The sequence below is a fragment of the Homo sapiens genome, chromosome 2, assembly GCF_000001405.40.
Source record: "Homo sapiens chromosome 2, GRCh38.p14 Primary Assembly".
Classification (NCBI taxonomy): domain Eukaryota; kingdom Metazoa; phylum Chordata; class Mammalia; order Primates; family Hominidae; genus Homo; species Homo sapiens.
The window spans coordinates 19,180,765-19,196,860 of record NC_000002.12 but is presented as its reverse complement, the minus strand read 5'-3'; the positions used below and the strand labels follow the sequence as shown (position 1 = coordinate 19,196,860).

Genomic DNA, 16,096 nt, shown 5'->3' with positions numbered 1-16,096 from the left:
GAAAACTAAACTTTTCAATCTGTTAGTATCTTTTGCCTTCCTTATGATATAATTTATTAGCACATTTAAAATTTTAGTTTCAGATTGATGTGAAAGTTTATTTTTCTCACATTCCCCTTTATATGTTTTCTTACTAAGAAGGTTTTTTGATGCGAATTCTTAGTGCTCTTGAACTTACAGGCCAGCCCCACATCGTCTAGTGGCATTTTGGCATCTCTTCTTTGTGGCAGAATTGTGGGAATTACATATCCCATCACTGAGCCAGCAGGTAGTATGGCTCTATTCTTGGTCTTTGTCTTTGTTTTCCTGCACCCTATGATCACTGTCTCCTATAAGCATAAGCCGTAGGTAGAATATGCAACAGCTTCTTTGGGCTTCAAGTTATGGTTTGGAACTTATTCAGTCTTTGATTTCAGACACTGAATCCAGCTTCAGTCTTCTAGTTTATATGGATCCATGTTCCTCCATGAGAATGGGAGTACTGACTATCACTGCTAGAGTCTGAATTGTGACAAAGAAGGTTTATGGCTCCAGTTGTGCTCTGTGCTTTGTACTGAAGTTCTATTTCTGTTCATGCTGATATTTGCTATTTGAGCCCAACTATGTCTTTTTGCATTTCTCTTATTATATTTAATTTGTCATTACTATATGTTGAAAGCTGATAAAGTGTACCAGATATAAACTTAATATGTCATCTTTGCCAGAAATCTTCTTATTTACTAAATGGAGAATTGAGGCTCAGAATGGAAATGTATCTTGACGAAGGCCTTAGAGTGATCTTGTCCTAGAGCCTGAGAGATACTCAGGTCTTCTGATTCCAAGCCCTGGGATTTTTCACTATTCCCAGGTGCTCAGAAACTGATACGAGGGAAAGGTCTCAGCATTGAGCTGCTTCCTGCCTTCTTGTAGGAATAAACTAGGAGTCAGAGGCAGCCACTGGGGGATTCAGTTGATGTTTCCTGATAAGCAGAGAAGATGTTTAACAGATTTCATCACTGCCAAGTTCATATCTGACTCAGAAATCTTTCTTTCAGCAAGCTGTCATGAGTCTGAGTTAAGCATCTCACCCAGAGTGTGCTGTGCCACATTCAGCAAGGGATCTTTGTGTTCACCAGAAAAACTAAAGCTCTCTAAATGGTATTTTCCATCTGGAGGCAACATAGCTTCCTTATAAAGAAGAAATAAGAAATAAAATTCATTTTTAATTTAAAATAGGCAAACATTTCATTGTGTGTTATACAAATAAATTAACACAAATGTCAACTGAAAAATGTCACTCAGCTTAAGGAAAAAATTTCCATGTCATTTGTGTTTGGGTAGGAAAGCAGTTCTTCAAAAGCTTGTTGCTGGCAAATGTCATCTGAGCAGAGACCCATTCCTTATACTATTGCATAGCTATGCAATTAAAGGCTACCAGACTCACTCAAGTATGCTATCACTTAAAAGTCTATAAAGATAAAATTATCAAGCAAATTGTTGTCTGAAATAAATGAAGATATTTTAATTAGAATATAAAGATAGATATTTATCTTCCTTGTGGTTACTTAACAAAATAAAAAAAAAAACCCAACCAGGGAAAAAAATGTTTTTGGTCCATCTAGCCATAGCAAATACTGCAGTCCCTCTAGCCATAGCAAATACTGCAGTCAGACCATGATATTAGAGTTTCTTCATGCCCCAGCTTGACTGTCTTAATGCACTGAGACTTCTTATACTTCTGCATTTGTGTGGCTTGTACCATGTCCCCTTGTACCCATGGCTTGTACCATGTACATATGACCCCTCTCTCCCTAATCCCCATAACCCCAAGTTCTAAACAAATCCCTATACACTTAGATATCCACCTCTACTTGCAAAATGTGCATTGGAAGATGATTTGTTAAGTTCTGTGCATTGTACCCTTCACATCTCTCATCACTCAGCCGTGATATAAGTAGGTATTCAGTCAACCGAATGCCAGAAGGAAGGTGGTTGCAGATAAAGGGCAGGCACAACCTCAGAAAGTTGTCATTACAGAACGTAGCTGCAGGAAGGGGGTATTTCCTCTGCTATGTTCCAAGATTAACACATGTAGCAGTTGACCAATGTGAACAGGCCAAGCAGAGGATGTTTAAAGGATCAAGTCAGTGTTTGTGTAATACTTTGAAGACAAAGGTGAAGATAATGAGCAAATTCTTATTATCACAAATAATCTAATAATTACTGTAATAATTATCCTCATTCAACCAGAGACCAGAAATAGAGATTTTCAAGTGTATTGAGTTTCATTAAGTATTACACATTCTACAGCTATAGTAGCACTCACTGTGAGAGGTAAAGCAGATTAAATAACCATGAACCACAAAGTCACTCTGCTCACTCCTCAGGTCTCAGATTGAGTTACCTTTCTCACACCTTGCAACCAAATTACACAGAGCAAAAAATGCACTAGAGGTGGGCTGAAAGGAGGCCAGAGAAGGGAGAGGGCAGGCTAGCTCCCAGTTTTTCCATCTCTGCATTGTCAAAAGATAAGTGAATATGTCTAATGAACCAGCTAATATCTTCGTGTTAAACTGACAGGTTGTTTCGACATCTTTAGACACAGCCAAACAAAGAATGAAAACAAACTGGTAGCCATGTTTGTAGTTCCTGATTATGGGCACAAAGCAACCAAACACACCTGCAAGAAGTGCTAAAATGTAGGCTTTGATGATAGCTTTGTTCAAGATCCTCATCAACCTCCTCACCTTCCATTAAATTTGTTGTGATAACGTAACTGTGGGGCATGTGTTGGTCCTGTCCAGATCAGAGTCAGACTCACATTTTACTCTCAAAAACAGGTGCTCAGCTGTAGCTGAAGTGCTCCATCACAGTCAGGTAGGTATGAGAGAATAACAGATGGGTTCCTAGGCATACACCATGCCAGGATTTAGAGACTAGGCCTGCATGTGGGAAGAGGTGATCAAATAATCAGGAGGCTTGATATTCTGCATTTAACCTAGTTTCCAAATCCCAGGGCTTGAAAACCTTGAATTTTAAAGATTAAGGGGAGTTTTGTGGCAGGCAGAGATATTCTACCTCATGGACTAGGGAGTAACGTTTGAAAATTTGATGTTATAGAGATGGTCTAAAAGAAATTTGAATCAATTAAGAGACAACAGTGCATTATATGTTAGGAAGGAAACTGTTATGGTCCGTTGTCTAGTCACAATGCAGTTCTACTCCAAAGGACCTCTTGGAGTCCACCTGAGGAAAAAACCCAAGGCTGGAAGGTTGGTGGTCTTGGCAGGTGTCCCTTCTCTGATGTGGCAAGAAAACCCGTGTTAGCAAGCATTAGCGCTACCTAAGACACAAGAGCCTGCTTTCCTCTCCTCTCTGCTTTCAGCCTTTCTGGATCATTCTTCCTGGAACACAGTCTGGGACCTTGCTTCAGGAACCTTTCCAACTTCTCTAAGATGGTCATCATCAAATACTCAAACACATGAGATCAGTGAGCTCTCAAGACTAAGCGACTGAAAGGGTCATATGGTTAAGAGGAGTGGAGGAAATAGCAACAGTTTTCCCAAATCACTGGAATTTTGGTCAAGAGACCTGGAATAAAGTCTCATCTGTGTCACCTAGAGCAAGTTATATGGGACTTCCTAAGAAGTAAAACAAAAACAAAAAACAAACTAACAAAAAACAGATGCAACAAAGCTTTTTTTTTTCTTCTTAACATGGAGTTAGCATAAAGGTAGAATGAGATGATCTTTTATTTCATAACTTTTTCTTTTGGTGTATTATTTAAAAATACCTTTCTATGCATGGATGATAAAGATAGTTTTCTATTTTTGTTATTTTGTTAAGAAGTTTTTGTTTTTTATATTTCGGTTTGTGTTTTAGTACTGTTTACACAAGGTTATTATTTTCCCCCATATGGATAGCCTATTGTGTTAATATCTTTCATATAATCAACTTTCTTAGTGATTTCTAATGTAATTTTTTGGTTATAAAGCACATCTTCATTAACATGCAGATTTCTTTCTGGGCTCTCTATTTTGTACATTTGTTATTCTCCTTTTGTGTAAATATATTCTTTTATAATTACTATAGCTCTAAGTAAGGTTTGGGTTCTAGTAGAAGTTATTCTTCCTAAAACTACCTCTTTCTTTTCCTCTTGGTTCTGTTTCATAGACTCTTTCCTTCTCTAATGATTTTTAACTCTTCTTAGATTTTTATCATAATTTATACATTTTAGAATTGATTGGAATGATTCCATTTCATTAAAATCTTATTGGAATTTTTATATGAATTGCATTTGATTTGCAGACTAATTTTGAGGAAAATTGATATTTTTACAAGATTGGGTTTTCCAAAAGTGAACATTATAATTTAATATACTTATTCTGGTTTTCTTTAATATCCTTTAAAATTTTTAATTATTTCATTGTAAATATCTGACACACTCCAGACTAATTTCTGGAATCTTTAAAAAATCATATTTTAATTGGTTACTGCTAATGGATAGAAAGAATATTGATTTATATTTGATGATCTTGTGCTCATCAAAATTGCTTGTAAGAATCAGGAGCCCAACAAGAAAAAGATACACTCAAATTAGGGTAATTTGAGAAGAGATTAGTAAAGGGATAATTTACAGAGGTGTGAGAGGGTATGTGAAATCTACTAGTGGTAATGCAGTAGGTCACGGCTAGGAATAGCAAGGATTCATTAGCACCTTTGTACCTGAAGGGACCAGAGGAAGGAGCGCAGGGAGACAAGAAGGTTCCTGTGGAGAAGTCTGCCTGACAGATGCTAAGACATTGGTGGAAGGGATCAGCTAGCCAGTGGTGAAGCAGAGTTGGGAGACTAACACCCTGTCCTCCCTTCTGATAGATCTCCTGCCTTTGCCCCTTTTCCTTCTCACCACCTGCCAAATACATTTGACGCTTATAGAAGTCAGTCTCCCAGGGCACTGAAAGAGTGAAGAGTAGAGAGTGGATGTGCAGGTGCAAATGAAAAATATTCCTGCTATTCCCGACATCTATTAGTTTTAGTATTTGTCTATAGATTTTCTTGTATTTACTAGATCGGCAATCATGACAGCATCAAATAACGATGTTGTTTCTATGAATCTTTCAACATATTCATTTTTTTTGTCTGATTTCACTAACTAGGTCCTCCCATATAATGTGAGCTGAAGATAGTGATAGTGTGTCAGTTTGTCTTGTCACTGACTTTAACGGGAGGACTTCTAAAATTTCAGCAGTAAGCAGGGTATTTACTTTAGTATGATTTTTGTTTTAGATTTATTTTATCATGTTAAGTAACATTGAGCTTCAGGTATACTGTACCTCAATCTGAGGAAAAGAGAAATGTTTGAAGTTTGATTTTTACAAGAATGGGTTCTATTGACACAACTCAACTCTTGTGATCTTATAAGTGAATGCATCTCCAAATCTAAATATATATATATAAATGTATAAAAGTATTTATTTAATACCAGCTGTATATACACAAGCTAACACCAAAAGCACTTTGTTTACTATAAAAATTCTAGAAATATTAGTTTTGATAATCTGAGTACGTACAGTCACATGACAATATATCTATTGGACATCCACCAAAATATCTGGTTTAAATGTTCAACTCTTTAATTAGTTGCAATTTATGCATAGTTAGTAAAGATATAATAATGACTTTGTCTACCCTTTAAAAAATGAACTATTGATGATTCATTTAACATAGATGAAAAACATCAGGTTCTCTTAATAACCTTGACTCATCTTTGCTCCTTTTTTTGTATCCGCCTATATTGGATATTGGAGTAGTATGCATCCTTCTTTAGATATGAGCTCCTTGGAGACAAGGACTTGTCTTATTTATTCCTGTATTTCTTATAGAACATTACACAGGGTTTTACATGCAATAGTAATGCATCTAACACTGGTTAAATAAATGAATGAATGGATACTGATGTCCTTTGTAGCATTGGTACTTTGGTTCAAATCTAGGGATGATGGAAGGTAGGCTTAAGGGACTATTACCACAAATGACTCCCAGCATCACGGGTGACCTGAGACAGGTTTCTGAAGAAATCTGCACATTCCATTCATTTTCACTAGTGTTAATGAAGAAAAAGAAAGGCTGGAGGGAAATTTGCACATTGAATCAATTAATAAAAAGATTGTATATAAGAAGTATCACGGGTTCTGTGTCTGGGCACTGCATACCCTCTATCCTAAATTATACTGAATAAATCTGTGGGTGAAAAAAACTTGAATGAATCTTTACTACAATTTCTCAGGTTCTAAATACTTATTCACCACTGTATTTAACATCAGCCACACTCTTTTTCTTGGCCTGCGTCTACATTTCTATGCACTTACTGTCTGGACGCACTTCTTAATTTTTAAACAAAGGCCTAGATAGGTACACATGCAGACACAGTATTAACAGAAGAAAAGCAGGAGCCATTTACAACTGGCACTTGTCCAGAACACAGACAGAGCCATGCCAGGGGCCGGAGGATTTTCAGTCTTCTCTGCTTATTGAAAACGGAATTGGAGAAAAGAGGCATTGCCGAGGCAGACAACCAGATAGAGTGGCTGCACCATCCGCAGGCTTGCTTCTGCCATACACCTTGTAAATTGATAACTTGGGATAAAATTTCCCAACCAGTAACTGGAAAAGAAGTGGGTTTTACAGCAAATCAAGTCAGGCTGGCAGCTTCCAATAAACAGAAAAAAGGTCATCTCTGTAACCTGGATAGGAAATCTCTGTCGGCTTTCCCCATCTCATCTTTAGCACAGATCTTCTATCATGTCAAGAGTTGACCTGGCCACTGCTTAGAAAATAATAATTGTATAATTAATGCATAAATCACATTTATTGAACACTTACCAGGTGCCAGTAACTGTGCTAATTGATTTATAAATATGATCTCATTTAATCTTCCCCAAAATCTCACTGTAATTATTTTGATTTCAGATAATAAAGCTAACACTCAGAGAACTTAAGTAATTTTCCTAACAATGCACAGCTAGTAAAGGGCAGAACCAGAGCCACGACTCAAGGTTAGTTTATCTGATGACAATGCCTGCTCTTCATAGTCTTCCTTCCACCTTCCCATTCCCAATTCTACCCCAGGTCACTCTCCCAGAATCCGCTGTACCCTCCACAGACTGTTAGCATAGTCCATCCAACAGTTTAATATGCTTAGTTGCTTAGATGGCTGCCAACCCACCAGGCTATGAACTCCTTGAATGCAGGAGTGAGTTCATCTCTGTCTCCCCACTGTGTAAGACAGTATCTGGTACAGAATGTGAACACAGGAATGATTTGATGACTGAGTAAGTAAATTACATAAACATCTGGTAAGGAGCTGCTTTGTTGAAGACCTCTCATTAGTTGCTTTACTGATAATTCCTACCCCTGTATGCAAAATGAAGTCACAAAATAGGATTCTTGTTTATTTTGAGATGTAGATGCTGCACCAGTGTTTTTTTTTTTTTTTTTTTTTTTTTGGTGGAACAAAAAATAAATGCATCAGCAGAAGAAAGTAAAATGTTCTCTTCAGGAATGGGTGATGCAGGAAAAGACTACAAGTTTAGAGTTAGGATCCTGAAGGACAGGTGGTCAGTCTGCAAGCATCAAATCAAAAAGGCTTGCTTCTCTCACCATCCAGAGCCCAGAGTGAGTTGGATCAATGTAAACGAAAAGCCACCTCTCAGGAAATAAGGCAGCTCCCCACAGACTGGGTGAAGTCGGCTTGCAGGACTTGGTCTCACTCTTTCTGAGAGAGTACCAGACAACAGGTCTGGTCTCCGAGTGTTCTCTTAGAAATGCAGCCATCACTGTGCAGCACACACTGAGGAGAAGCTATACCCTGATGGGATCAAAGAATATGGTCCAGGTTTTCAAAGACAGCTGAGAAGAAGGAACAAGCAACCCGGGTTGACTCTGTGGGCCCCCTGCATGGACCACACACAAGAGGATTCACACATACCTGGAGCTCCACCCACATGGGTTTAAGGTTTTTACCAGCTCCTTAGAGAGGAGACACTGGGGAGTGAGGCCAGTATTTACAGCATGTCATTCATCCTTTGTCCTCCATAAGGTCCCAGAGTAAACTCTATCAAGTTCCAATGCCGGAGTGTGTGTCCAATTATTCTTACCTGATCTTTAGTTAAAGAGCGAAAAGCTTTTCCAGATACGAACTGGATAGAGTCCATTAATTTACTGGAAAAGCCAAAGCAGTTAGGAAGCCCTTTTGGTAGGATCTTACCTGAAAGTTTTACATACTGATCAAAGACTTGGGGATCTACAGGAGTCTGTCCCCACCCACCCCAGATTGCTAAGAAGAATGGTATTTTAGGAGCACAGCAGGCTTGTGTAGAAATAATAGGAAAAATGGTAGACAAAGCTGCAGATAGAGACATACAAAGGTCTAACCTTTCCTAGTCAAGCCATTCATTTCTGTAGGTATCTTCCTGAGCTATCCTGAGTGTGCATTTCAGTGATGAATCCCAGATTGCTAGAAAGATGTGCCATATGTTTCTTGATATTCTAGTGGCCTCTATACTTAGAATAATACACATAATGTTGAGTAATAGGAAACTCTGGTTGCAATGCTTTGTAAGCGGTATGGTGGAACACATTGAGTGGACAGGTCCCTGAGAAAAGCCATTCAATATCTGTCATATCTGATAGCTACAATTGCCCATGGAAGCTCAGTATTCTGATATTCTGATGTCTTTTTTAAAAGTTAATTTCCTAAAAGGGCACGTAATATTACTAGGGGAGCCTCCTTTTCTGCTATGGAATCCCAGTAAAAGTGCACTTTTTATGATAATGTTAGTCACTGACAGGCACAGGTTAGGAAAGGTGAAATATTTTTAGATCAAATCACTAGGAAAGTATGTAAACCATAGGCTTTGGTATATGCACTTGAGTGCAGGCAGAGATGGAAATAAGGAATCTGTTGGCTCTTTATTCCTGATGAGTTCAGATTAAGTAATCATTCATCTCCATTAGTCACCCCCAACTCCCCCAACATACACACATGTGCCTACACACTGCTGTGCACACACAGGTCCAAGCCTGGTGCAAACATGGTTTCCCGTGTTCAGCCAGCAGCTTCCCACAGCTGGAATGGGGAACACCTGCATGGTGCTGCTTTGTGTCGGCTGCACTCACTCATAGGTGGCCTGGTTACCATCTGCATAGGTAAGGCCGACCAGACCTGGTCTATAACCACCAGCCCAGTTCCTACAGGCACAAAGTCAACCTGGACATAAAGCAGGCATCCTGCCATACCTGAGAGGCCTGCTTCATGTCCGTGGTTCTCTCTCACACAAAGAAGCCTATTTATTCCTCCCGCTCTCTTTCTTGATAGTCACATCTTCTCTTTGTTTTTAGTAGTTGAGTCATTCTGGGAGCTGGAGGGATAGGCTTGGGACTCAAAAATAAGTGGCTCTGTCACTGACTCATTCATTCATTTAAGAAACTGTTGTATACTGCTGTACACCAGGCTCTGCAGAGACAAACCTGCATAGAACTTCAGCCCTGACCTTCAGGGCCTCAGAGTCTAGTGGAAGAGACAAACTTGTAATCTCATAACTGCAGCCCAGTGTGATAGGAACCCTTAAATCAGTGCACATAAAGGATTTTGCAGGCATGAAAGAGAAAGCAACAGACTTCATCTGGAAGAGCTTGGGAAGATTTTACAGAAAACACTGTATCTGATGTGGGCATTGACAAAGACATAGGAGTTTGCTGGCTAGAGAAGTGGAGAAAGCTATAAAGTCACAAGTAAGAAACCACAATGCTGGTTTAGAAATGGCAGATCGGGGAATAAGAGGCAAAAGCAAATGATTTTACAATTGAATTAACTTAAAAATCAACAACTAGAAGACCTCAGGAAAATTCCCAAATATTTGGAAACTAAATAATATATTTATAAATAACTTGTGAGTCAAAGATGCAATCCAAAGAGAAAAGGAAGCATTTTGAACTGAATTGAAGTGAAAGTTAATATATCAAAATTTGTGGGAGACTGCTTAACCAGAAATTAGGGGGAATTTATAGCATTAAATGCCTCATAAAAGAAGAAAGGTCTCAAGTTTCCACCCTAAGAAGCAAGAAAAAGAAGAACAACTTAAACTCGAAGTAAGTAGAAAAAAAGAAAGAAAGATCAGAGCAGAAGTCAATGATATTAATATCAGAAAAACAGTAGAGAGAATCAGTGAGACCAAAAACAGTCTCTTTAAGAAGATTAATAAAATCAATCAACCTCTAGCCAGATTGATGAGCGTGAAAAATAGAGAAGGCACAAATTACAAATATAAGGAATGAGAAAGCTGGGATCAGTACAGATTCTACAGATATTAACAGTATAATAAGGGAATAGTATTAACAGGTTTATGTTAATAAATTCAGCAACTTAAATGAAATGGACAAATCTCTATAAAGATATGAACTACCAAAGCTCACTCAAGAATTATTAGATAATATAAACAGCCCTAGGTTTATTAAAGAAATTTAATTTGTAGTAAAAAAAGAACTTTTTTTTTTTCAGAGAAAACTCCCAGATGGTGTCACTGGTGAAATCTACCAAACATAAAAAAAAAATATGACCAGTTTTGCATACTCTCTTCTAGAAAATTTTGATGAGGAGAAACTATTATCCAACACATTCTGTGAGCTAGTAGTACTTTGATATGAAAGTCAGACAGAGACATCACAATAAAACTACAGACCAATGTTTCACGAACATATTTATGAAATTTCAAGCAAAAATTTAGTAAATTGAATATATCATGGCTAAGTGGACCTATCCAAGGAATGCAGAATTAGCATAATATTCAAAAATCAATGTAATCTATCGCATTAACATACCAAAAATTTTTAAAAATGGCAATCTCAATAAAAATAGACAATGCTTTTGAAAAAAATTTCCAACATGCATTCTTGATGAAAAAAATCTCTCAACCAATTAGAAACAGAAGAAAACTTTCTCAACTCCATAAAAAGTATCAAATTAAAAACTTTTAGTAAACACCATACTGGAAAAAGACTGAATATGTTCTCTCTAAGATCAGGAAGAAGACAAGAATGACAGCTTCAACCCCTTCTAATTAACTCTGTGCCAGAGATTGTAGCCAGTGCAATAAGGTAAAGAAAAAAAGTCACTGAGATTGAAAAGGAAAAAAATAATTCTACCTTTATTTTCAGATGACATGATCACCTATTAGAAAATTTGATGTAATCTGAAATCTCAATTAAGATGGCTGATAAGAGGCAGGACTAGCTTGCAGCTCTCGATCAGATGGATAGACCAGCGTGTGGAGACTCACATCATGAACTTTTGCTTCAAGAACTACTGTAGGAACATACCAGCAAAGCTGAGAGAACCCACAGACCCTTTGAAGGAACTTGATCACTGCTGTATGCTCCCTGGGACACCAAAAAACTGTGAGTCTGCTTGCTTTCTCAATGGGGAGGCTCGTGGTCTGGAGCAAGTTCTCAGCCCTGGTCACCGGCTGCCAAAAAATAGACTCAGTGCTGTTGGTGGGGCACTGTGGGAGTGAGACTGGCCTTTAGGACTGTGGGCTGTGTGGGAGCGGGGTGAGGCCTGTGACTACTGGCTTTTCCCCACTTCCCTGGTGAGCTGTATGACTCAGCAGAGGCAGCCATAATCCCTTTGGGAATATAACTTCACTGGACTTGGGGAACCATCCCCCATCCCCCACAGCAGCGGCAGCAAGCCCTGCCCAAGGAGGGGCTGAGCTCAGACCTGCCTATCCCTGCCCACACCTGACGGTCTTTCTCTACCCATCCTGGTAACCAAAGACAAAGGTCATAATCTCTTCAGAGTTCTATGGCCCTGCCCACCACCTGAGAAACCTGAATACTTAACCCGGTGTCCCTAGGGCAAGTTTGCATCCTACCTATATGACCACAGCTGATGTGCTCTTGAAGGTGCCACCTCTTGGCTGGAGGCCAACCAACACAAAACCAGTGCACTAAACAAAAACACAACCAAGGACCCTCACAGAGTCCACTTCACTCCCCTGCTATCACCACCGGAGCAGGTGCTGGTATCCATGGCTGCAAGACCTGAAGACAGATCACATCACAAGACATTTTTCAGACATTCCCCAGTACCAGCTCAGAGCCTGGTAGCTCCGCTGGGTGGCTAGACCCAGAAGAGAAAAAGACAATCACTATAGATTGGCTCTCAGGAAGCCCCATTCCTAGGAGAAGGGGAGGAACCACATCAAGGGAGCATCCAGTGGGACAAAAGAATCTAAATAGCAGCCCTTAAGTCCCAGATCTTCCCTCTGACATAGTCTATCCAAATGAGAAGGAACCAGAAAAACAATTCTGGTAATATGACAAAACAAGCTTCTTTAACACCACCCAAAATCGTACCACCTCACTAGCAATGGATCCGAACAATGACAAAATTTCTGAATTGCCAAAAAAAAAAGCATTCAGAAGGCTGACTATTAAGCTAATCAAGGAGGCACCAGAGAAAGGTGAAGTCCAACTTAAAGAAATCAGAAACATAATATAGGATACGAAAGGAAACTTCTTCAGTGAAATAGATAGCACAAATGAAAAATGATCACAACTTCTGGAAATCAAGGACACACTTAGACAAATGCAAAATGCACTGGAAAGTCTCAGCAATATAGTCAAACAAGCAGAAGAAAGAACTTCAGAGCTCAAAGACAAGGCTTTCAGATTAAAAAGAATTTTTTAAAACAAACGAGTCCTCCAAGAAATTTGGGACTATCTTAAATGTGCAAACCTAAGAATAATTCCTGAGGAAGAAGATAAATCTAAAAATTTAGAAAACAGCTTTGAGGGAATAATTGAGGAAACCTTCCCTGGCTTTGTTAGAGATCTAGACATCCAAATACAAGAAGCTCAAAGAACACCTGGGAAATTCATCGCAAAAAGATCATTGTCTAGACACATAGTCATTAGGTTATCTAAAGTCAAGACAAGGGAAAGAGTCTTAAGAGCTGTGAGGCAAAAGCATCAGGTAATCTGTAGAGGAAAACCTTTGAGGGTAACAGCAGATTTCTCAGCAGAAACCCTGCAAGCTAGAAGGGATTGGTGTCCTGTTTTTAGGCTCCTTAAAATAATTATCAGCCAAGAATTTTTTATCCATTGAAAGTAAGCTTCATACATGAAAGAAAGATGCAGTCTTTTCCAGGCAAACAAATGCTGAGTGCATCCACCACTACCAAGCCAGCACTAGAAGAACTGCTAATAGGAGCTTTACATCTTGAAACAAATCCACCAAAATAGAACTTCCTTAAAGTATAAATCCCACAGGATCTATATAACAACAACACAATGAAAAAACAAACAACGTATTCAGGCAAAATTAGCACAATGTATAGAATAGCACCTCACATCTCAATACTAACATTGAATGTTAATGGTCTAAATGTTCCATTAAAAGATACAGAATGGCAGAATAGATAATAATTCACCCACCAAGTTTCTGCTGTCTTCAGGAGACTCACCTAACACATAAAGACTCACATAAACTTAAGGTAAAGGGGTAGAAAAGGATATTGCATGTCAATGGACACCAAAAGCAAGCAGGAGTAACTATTCTTATATCAGACAAAACAAACTTTAAAGCAACAGCAGTTGAAAAGGACAAAGAGGGACATTATATAAGGATGAAAGGACTAGTCCAACAGGAAAATATCGCAATTCTAAATATATATGCACCTAACACTGGAACTCCCAAATTTGTAAGAAATTTACTGCTAGACCTAGTAAATGAGATAGACAGCAACACCATAATAGTGGGGGACTTTAATACTCCACTAACAGCACTGGACAGGTCATCAAGACAGAAAGTCAACAAAGAAACAATGGACTTAAACTATACCCTACAAGAAATGGACTCAAGAGATATTAGAAAACATTCTACCCAATAACCACAGAATATACACTCATTCATTAGCACATGGAACATTCTCCAAGATAGACCATATGATAGGCCACAAGACAAGTCTCAGTAAATTTAAGAAAATCAAAATTATATTAAGTACTCTCTTGGACCACAGAGGAATAGAATTGGAAATCAACTCCAAAAGGAACCCTGAAAACCATGAAAATACATGGAAATTAAATAACCTGCTCCTCAATAATTGTTGGGTCAACAATGAAATCAAGATGGAAATTTAAAAATTCCTTCAGCTGAACAATAATAGTGACACAATCTATCAAAACCTCTGGGATACAACAAAAGCAATGCTAAGAGGAAAGCTCATAGCATTAAATGCCCACATCAAAAAGTCTGAAAGAGCACAAATAGATCATCTAAGCTTACACTTCACGAAACTGGAGAAACAAGAACAATTGACCCCCAAACCCAGCAGAAGAAAAGAAATAACGAAGATCAAAGCAGAAGTAAATGAAATTGAAACAAAAATACAGTACATAAGATAAATGAAATAAAACCTGGTTATCTGAAAAGATAAATAAAATTGACAGGCCATTAGCTATATTAACCAAGAAGAGAGAAGATTCAAATAAGCTCAGTTAGAAATAAAGTGGGAGATATTGCAACTGATACCACAGAAATAGAAAAGATTATTCAAGGCTACTGTGAACAGCTTTATGCGCATAAACTAGAGAACCTAGAGGAGATAGATAAATAACTGGAAATATTCAACCCTCCTAAATTAAACCAGAAAGATGTGGAATCTCTGAATAGACAAATAACAAGCAGTGAGATCGAAATGGTATTTAGAAAATGGCCAATAAAAAAGTTCAGGACCAGATGGATTCACAACTGAATTCTATAAGACATTCAAAAGAATTGATACCAATCCTATTGACACTTTTCCAAAAGATAAAGAAAGAGGGAATCCTCCCTAAATCATTCTGTGAAGCCAGTATCACCCTATTACCAAATCCAGGGAAGAATATAACATAAAATGAAAACTGCAGACCAATATTCCTGATGAAAATAGATGCAAAAATCCTCAACAAAATGCTAGTGAACCAAATCCCACAGCACATCAAAAAGATAATCCACCGTGATTAAGTGGGTTGCATACCAGGGATGCAGGGACGGTTTAACATACATAAACCAATGAATGTGACACACCACACAAACAGAATTAAAAACAAAAATCACATGATCATGTCAATAGACACAGAAAAAGCATTTGACAAAATCCAGCATTGCTTTACGATTAAAACCCTCAGCAAAATTGGCATAGAAGGGACGTACATTAAGGTAATAAAAGCTATCTCTGACAAACCCACAGCCAATATTATACTGGATGGAGAAAAGGTGAAAGCATTCCCACTGATAACTGGAACAAGACAAGGATGTCCACTTTCACTACTTCTATTCAACATGGTACTGGAAGTCCTAGCCAGAGCAAACAGACAGAAAAAAATAAAGAGCATCCAAATCGGTAAAGAGGAAGTCAAACTGTCCTCTTTGCTGATAATATGATCGCATACCTAGAAAACTCTAAAGACTCATCTTAAAACCTCCTAGAACTGATGAATAAATTCAGCAAAATTTCAGGATACAAAATTAATGTACACAAATCAGTAGCTCTGCTATACACCGACAATGACCAAGCTGAGAATCAAATCAAGAACACCCAACCCCTTTCACAATAACTGCAAAAATAAAATAAAATACTTAGGAATATACCTAACCAAGGAGTTGAAAGAGATCTACAAGAAAAAGTACAAAACACTGCTGAAAGAAATCCTAGATGACACAAACAAATGGAAACACATCCCATGGTCCTGGATGGGTAGAATCAATATTTTGAAAATGACCATATTGCCAAAAGCAATCTACAAATTCAATGCAATTTCCATCAAAATACCACCATCATTCTTCACAGAACTAAGAAAAAGCAATCCTAAAATTCATATGGAACCAAAAAGTAGCCCACATAGCCAAAGCAAGACTAAGCAAAAAGAACAAATCTGGAGGCATCACTCTACCAGACTTCAAACTATACTGTAAGGCCATAGTCATCAAAACAGCATGGTACTGGTATAAAAATAGAGACATAGACCAATGGAACAGAATAGAGTACCCAGAAATAAAGCCAAGTACTTAGAGCCA

At 38.1% G+C, this 16,096-nt stretch overlaps 2 annotated features.

The window, feature by feature from the left end:
• Nucleotides 11,104-11,603: an enhancer, noted in NCBI's record as "H3K27ac hESC enhancer chr2:19385019-19385518 (GRCh37/hg19 assembly coordinates)". NCBI's record gives its function as "activates a minimal SCP1, AML or CMV promoter by ChIP-STARR-seq in naive H9 embryonic stem cells {active_cell/tissue: H9 hESC(naive)}" and the evidence as "EXISTENCE:reporter gene assay evidence [ECO:0000049][PMID:30033119]".
• Nucleotides 11,604-12,105: an enhancer, noted in NCBI's record as "H3K27ac hESC enhancer chr2:19384517-19385018 (GRCh37/hg19 assembly coordinates)". NCBI's record gives its function as "activates a minimal SCP1, AML or CMV promoter by ChIP-STARR-seq in naive H9 embryonic stem cells {active_cell/tissue: H9 hESC(naive)}" and the evidence as "EXISTENCE:reporter gene assay evidence [ECO:0000049][PMID:30033119]".